This window comes from Homo sapiens, chromosome 7 (genome assembly GCF_000001405.40).
Source record: "Homo sapiens chromosome 7, GRCh38.p14 Primary Assembly".
NCBI classification, from domain to species: Eukaryota; Metazoa; Chordata; class Mammalia; order Primates; family Hominidae; genus Homo; species Homo sapiens.
In genome coordinates this window covers 63,712,064-63,718,963 of record NC_000007.14, presented here as the reverse complement: position 1 = coordinate 63,718,963, position 6,900 = coordinate 63,712,064, and the positions used below count along the sequence as shown (strand labels likewise).

At 41.5% G+C, this 6,900-nt stretch overlaps 1 long non-coding RNA gene across 2 annotated transcripts; it reads right to left on the bottom strand.

Moving 5' to 3' along the window:
* Positions 1-4,377, bottom strand: LOC105375314 (uncharacterized). 2 transcript variants are annotated; one of them, XR_927569.1, is made up of 3 exons: positions 4,338-4,377; positions 2,863-2,929; positions 1-39 (listed from the first exon to the last, which is right to left on the bottom strand). It is a non-coding gene; the product is annotated as an uncharacterized LOC105375314 (long non-coding RNA). The 2 variants fall into 2 exon arrangements; XR_927568.2 differs by lacking the exon at positions 4,338-4,377 and adding an exon at positions 3,334-3,461.
* Positions 4,378-6,900: the final 2,523 nt, after the last annotated feature.

The window sequence follows — 6,900 nt, the reverse complement described above, 5'->3', positions numbered from 1 at the left end:
GAGTCCTGAGCTTGTTTTTCTGCAACTAGATGGTCCCATCTGGGGGTGATGTGAGACAGTCATAGATTATCAGGCATTAGATTCTCATAAGAACAGAGCAAGGTAGATCCCTCACATGCACAGTTCACAATAGGATTCGTGCTCCTATGAGAATCTAAAGCTGCCGCTGATCTGACAGGAGCCCGAGATCAGGCAGTAATGTGGGGAGTGGCTGTAAATACAGATGAAGCTTCACTCACCCACCCGCTGCTCACCTCCTGCTGTGTGGCCCAATACAGGCCTGTGACCCAGGGATTAGGGGCCCCTGCTCAAGTGCATCCAAAAGGACCCTTCCCACACCAATCTTCATAGTGGTCAAGTGCAGCAACTACTTAGCTCCCAAGGTATGTGCCTCAGCTGGCAATTCATCACAATCAACAGTAAGTGGTAGTTTGAGTCATTGTGAGGTCACTTCCTGGAAATGACCAGCATCCCATATCCCATTGGCAAGGAGCTCAGCGCTGCCCCTTGGATAACCAAACCTATGCCCAAATCCCATCTGTGTGGGTCCATCTCCTGGTACCCTTCCTAGCATCAATTCTTTATTTGTAGGAGTCCAATCAGGAGACACAAACCACTCGAAAATTTAAAGTGGTAAAATTCAAAACAAAAAAGTATTAATTATAACAAGGCAACAGCATAATGAGAGATTGGCTACCAAAAAGCAAAGAGAAGGCTAGAGAACATAGGAGGCCAGGTATTGTACCCCCTGCTTATAATTCCAGCAATTTCAGAAGCCAAGGCAGGAGGATTGCTTGAGGCCAGGAGTTTGAGACCAGCCTGGGAAGCACAGTGAGGCCCTGTCTTTAAAACAAAACAAAACAAAACAAAAACAAAAACAAAAACAAAAACCTCCATCTCAAAAACAAATAAAAATAAATAAATAAAATAAAAAATAAAAAATTTAGCTTTGCATGCTGTTGTACGTCTATAGTCCCAGCTCCTTGGGAAGCTGAGGTGGGAGTATTACTTGATCCCAGGAATATGACGCTACAGCAAGCCATGATCACACCACTGCACTGCAGCCTGAGTAACAGAGCAAGACCCTGTCTCTACAAAGGAAAGAAAAGAAATGCAAGTTTTTATCACTTTGTGAGAGTAATAAAGTTTGAGGAGAAACAGAGAAGAACAAAAGAGCACTGAATGGTGAGGGTGGGTGTCTGGTTAGGCTCAGTTACTAGCTAAGTGGCTTCTGAAAAATTCTTTAATAAAATCATATCTCTGGGGGTCAGTCATGCAGTCAAATGATGAATGCTGAATCCATTACAAATGCCCATCATCTTTCTTTACATGCCTTCTAGTAAAAAATTCCTAAGTGCCTAAATAGCAAGTGGTCTGAAATGACAGCAGTTGTTTATTAAAGAAATATCTCAGCCAGGTGCGGTGGCTCATGCCTGTAATCCCAGCACTTTGGGAGACTGAGGTGGGCAGACCACCTGAGGTCGGCAGACCACCTGAGGTCAGGAGTTGGAGAACAGCCTGGCCAACATGGTGAAACCCCCATCTCTACTCAAAATACAAAAACTTAGCTGGGTATGGTGGTGGGCACCTTAATCCCAGCTACTCGAGAGGCTGAGGCAGGAGAATCACTTGAACCTGGGAGGCGGAGGTTGCAGTGAGCCGAGATCACACCACTGCACTCCAGCCTGAGTAATAAGAGCAAAACTCCACCTCAGAAATAAAAAAAAAAAAAAAAATCTCGATTTTTAAAAACTATGAGTCAAATATTATTTTCCTCCTCCCATTTTACAGGGTGCAACCTAAATAACAGAGAATTTAAGTAATTTTCCTAAGTGGCAGAGCACAGATTTAAATCCTATCACTTTGGCCTCAGAATTTGTGCTTTATATTATTTTACTATTTTAAAATTCATCTTTTTTAAAACCAAGAGACTTATGCAAAATTGTGCTAGGATTCAAAAAACGCCTCTTGCTTTTCCTGATCATGGTTACAGGCAGGGCTCATGCTGCATTTTCTTTACTTATTTATGTCCTGCTTGGATGGAGACATGATGACAGGAGCTCCCTCCATCACCGTGCACCAGAAAGAAAAGTGAAGAGAAGCACAGGGAAGCCAGTCTTACCATGTTTGAGCAACTGAACCAATGTCAGCCTGAGCCTACCAGCACAATTACTCTTATGTGAGAAAAACAGGCATCTCCCTATTTGGAAAATCACAGCTGACTGCAGTAGTAAACAATCCACAAGTTATTCCTGGTAACACTATTCCTACAGCCCTAATCTGTCTCAAAAAAAAAAAAAAATCCTAATGCAGTTATTTCCTTTTGCATTCATGAGGAGATGGAAGAAATACCCATATTTGATGGTTGGCTGGGAACTGTCTTTGGCACTGTATGAAGTATTTTAATATTGTAAACATGAAAAGATGAGAATCCTGGAGACCCCGTGGGCATGGAGAAAAGGAAGTACATTAGAGGGTGTTGTAGGAAATATTTTCATTCCAGGCACTGCTGTTTAAACTACCCCTAAACTTTCTTTCCTTAAAAGAACAGAAAAAACAAAGAGGACAAAAGATCAAGAAACATTCCACGTGCCCCTCTCCATTCTTATTTGTTGTAATAAAGGAAAAGCATTGTGGAGATTTTCCTGAATGCAGTTTATGATGTGATCAAAGTTATTTATTTTCTGCTAATGATTTTCAAAATTTGAATTAAAAACTTTCAGAAATTTAGCTTTATCAAAGGCAGCTGTTCACATGTAAAACTAGTTTGGTTAACTTCATCTGCATAAACACATAGCTAGTGAATTAGCATAACTATTAAACTGAAGAATCAACAGAAACATGCCAATGACTGGCCCTTACCTTCCACAGTGACCTCAATTTCAGGAAGATTTTCATTACTCTCAGGCCTTCATGGTCTTTTTGGGGACTGAAAGTTGTAAAATAAGCACAGAATTACTTTAGTATGTTGTAGGAAAAAAATACAAAAGGAGATGTTTTATAAGAGTAGAGTATTAAAATTCATACAGTTTGACTCTTTGCGAAGAAACCTGCAGAATTAAACTTGTAGTGTAGTCCTCTACAGGCGGCTCAAAAAAGCCATGGAAACATGCATAAAGTAGGATTGCAAATGTGACATTTCCAGTGAAATTTAAAAAAAAAAAAAAGAAAAAAGAAAAAGAGGTCCATTAAATAACATAACTTAAAAAGCTAAGAAACCAACTGCAAGTCCCACAAAGATATTGGCCAATGACTCTCTATGATTTTAAGAAATGCTGATAAAGAATGTCTTAATGCAGTGAAATATAACAGGAAGTACATGTAATCTCTTACCTTTAGTGTGGCAAGTAGGAAATAATTAGTTCAAGTCAAGAAAGAATACCAAGAAATGTTATAGTAGCCAGTACAATGGTGGTCTAACAGCTAGTAAAACAGTCCTGATATGATGAGAGTTTTTTCAAAAGGAGTTCGCAGAGTCACCCTGTAATGTAACAATAATTCCTATCATTGTGTACAAAAACCCTGACATTTCCTTCCCATGACTGGCAAGTAATTATATGAAGAATAAATTACTTCTTTCATGAAAAAGAAAATCAACACTAGTGTATTTTCTTCAGCCACTAAAATTCTGCAGGAACACAGATATAGTAAGAAACTCAATCATCACATCAGGCCGGGTATGGTGGCTCATGCCTGTCATTCCAGCACATTGAAAGGCCAAGGCGGGTGGGTCACCTGAGTTCAGGAGTTCAAGACCAGCCTGACCAACTTGGTGAAACCCCATCTCTGCTAAAAACACAAAAATTAGCCAGGTATGGTGGCGCATTTCTGTAATCCCAGCTACTCAGGAGGCTGAGGCAGGAGACTCACCTGAACCCAGGAGGTGGAGGTTGCAGTGAGTGGAGATCACACCACTGGACTCTAGCCTGGGCAACGAGAGTAAAACTCTGCCTCAAAAAAAAAAGAAAAGAAAAGAAAAGAAAAGAAACTCAATCATCAATATTTAGTCACTCTTAAGACTGACCCAGGAATAACAGAGCAGATAAAATCCAGCAAATTAGACTTCATTCAAGTACTTAGGTGTACTGTGAGCCACCATGGTGCCTCTAAACACCATGGAGGCAGTGGTCACTATTCTTGCACTGATGAAGATGGCTGTGTACAGGATTGGGGGCTTCAGGGGCAATGGAAAGTGCCAGGACTGCAGCTCAGAGCCAGGCTTTTCCATGAAGGACTTATGGCCACACTTGTCACCTCTAGCTAGAAAAACATTTTAGTAGAAATGTCATTTTATTGTTTTAATTCCAGAAATGACTTCAGTGGCAAATAGAACTTACTTTTTTACTGTTGTTGTTGTTGTTGTTGCAGAGTTTCACTCTGTTGCCCAGGCTGGAGTGCAGTGCTGTGATCTCAGTTCATAGCAGCCTCTGCCTCCCAGCTTCAAGTGATTCTCCTGCTTCAGCCTCCCGAGTAGCTGGGATTACAGGTGCCAGCCACCATGCCTGGCTAATTTTTTGTATTTTTAGTAGAGATGGGGTTTCACCATGTTGGCCAGGCTGGTCTCGAACTCCTTACCTCAGGTGATCCACCCACCTCAGCCTCCCAAAGTGCTGGGATTATAGGTGTGAGCCACTGCACCTGGCCTGCAAATACTATTTGGAAGCAGCCCTTTGCTACTAACTGCTCAAGACCGTAATAACCCTCCTCCTTTGGTTGCTGCAAACTGGCACATTTCAGGCTAAACTTTCATCTACACGGAAACAACAAGATCTTCTTTACTACCCCTTCAACCTTGTGAGCATGCTATTAAAAAAATAAATAAAAATAAAAAACTTTGCACAAAGAATTAATGGAATGGGAAATTTAAAAAGTAAGCAGAGGCCTGTTTAGATTACAAGAGGCATAACAACCAAAGTTAGCACATGAAGATTGTTTGGATCCAGATTTAAAGCAAAATTTTTCAGATAATGAGAAAATGAGATACTGTTCAGGTAAGAGTGAGGAAACTTGGCTAGGTGCAGTGGCTCACACCTGTAATCCCAGCACTCTGGGAGGCCGAGGTGGGAGGATCACCTGAGGTCAGGAGTTCAAGACCAGCCTGGCCAATATGGCGAAACCCCGTCTCTACTAAAAATACAAAAATTAGCCGGGTGTGGTGGCATGCGCCTGTAATCCCAGCTCCTCAGGAGGCTGAGGCAGGAGAATTGTTGGAGCACAGGGGGCAGAGGCTGCAGTGAGCCGAGATTAGACCATTGCACTGCAGCCTGGGCGACAGTGCAAGACTCTGTCTCAAAAAAAAAAAAAAAAAAAAGAAAGAAAGAAAGAAAAGAGTGAGGAGACTCAGCTAAGGGCTGCATATGAGCTGATACCAAAAAAATCATTGTTCATTTTGTCAGATGTGATGAGATAGTGGCTGTGTAGGAATACATAAATGCTGTTCGGGGATGCACACTGAACAGATAAAATGATGTGATGACTGATTTGCTTTACAATATTCCTGCAAAGGGAGGTAAAAGAACAGAAGAACAAAACGTGGGACAATCTTAAAGATCACAGAAATTGAGGAATGGGTATTTTAGCGGTCATTGTACTATTTTCTCTACTTCTGAATAGGTATAAAAATTGTAATTTAAAAATGTAAAATAAAACAGCCAGGCGCAGTGACTCATACCTGTAATCCCAGCACTTTGGGAGGTTGAGACAGGTGGATCACATGAGTCAGGAGTTCGAGACCAGCCTGGTCAACATGGTGAAAGCCTGTCTCTACCAAAAATACAAAAAACAAAAAAAAGTCAGCCAGGTATGGTGGCAGGTACCTGTAGTCCCAGCTACTCAGGAGGCTGAGGCAAGAGAATCACTTGAATCCAGGAAGCAGAGGCTGAAGTGAGCTGAGACTTCGCCACTGCACTACAACCTGGGTGACAGAGTGAGAATCCACCTCAAAAAAAAAAAAAAAGAAAAGAAAAAAGTATAAATAAATTGATTAATCCCTGCTCTGAAGCCACATCCAAACAGAACTCTAAAAAAAGATTCAAGCAATTTACTGTGCTGTTTATATACACATCTCCCTCACACCTCTGTAACATTTAAATATTTTACAACATGATGGGTGGGAGTGGCTCAAAGCTGGACATGCTGGCATGTGCCTGTAGCCCCAGCTACTTAGGAGACTGAGGCAGGAGGATAACTTGAGCACAGGAGTTCTAGTCCAGCCCAGACAACATAACAAGACCCTGGTTTTTTTTGAGATGGAGTTTGACTCTTGTTACCCAGGCTGGAGTGCAATGGTGGGATCTCAGCTCACTGCAACCTCTGTCTCCCGGGTTCAAGTTATTCTCCTGCCTCAGCCTCCCAAGTAGCTGAGATTACAGTCACACACCACCACACCCAGCTAATTTTGTATTTTTAGTAGAGATGGGGTTTCTCCATGCTGGTCAGGCTGGTCTTGAACTCCCGACCTCAGGTGATCTGCCTTCCAAAATGCTGGGATTACAGACATGGGCCACCACACCCTGCCAATCCTGTTTCTTTAAAAAGAAAGGTTGGGGAGCTGTCAGGGAGCTCACTGATGAATTATTTTGGCAGTAACAACAATTGCTATGAAAACGCAACTATAAAATCCAAAATTGTATCTATTCCCAGATCTTTCTCCTTACTTCCAAACTCATTTATCCAACTGTCTCCTCCACCTCCACACCTCAACTTAAATGTCAACTCAAAATAAATTAACAATTAATTTCTGTGTTCTTAGACTGGCTTTCCTCTAACATCTCAAGACCTGTCTTAAATTCTTAATGTTATTAGCACCAAATCTGAAGGACTCTAGTATAGAGACTCTTTGATATAAGAAACATGTGTTTTTGAGAAACCACACAAAATGAAATAATTATTATAGCTGTA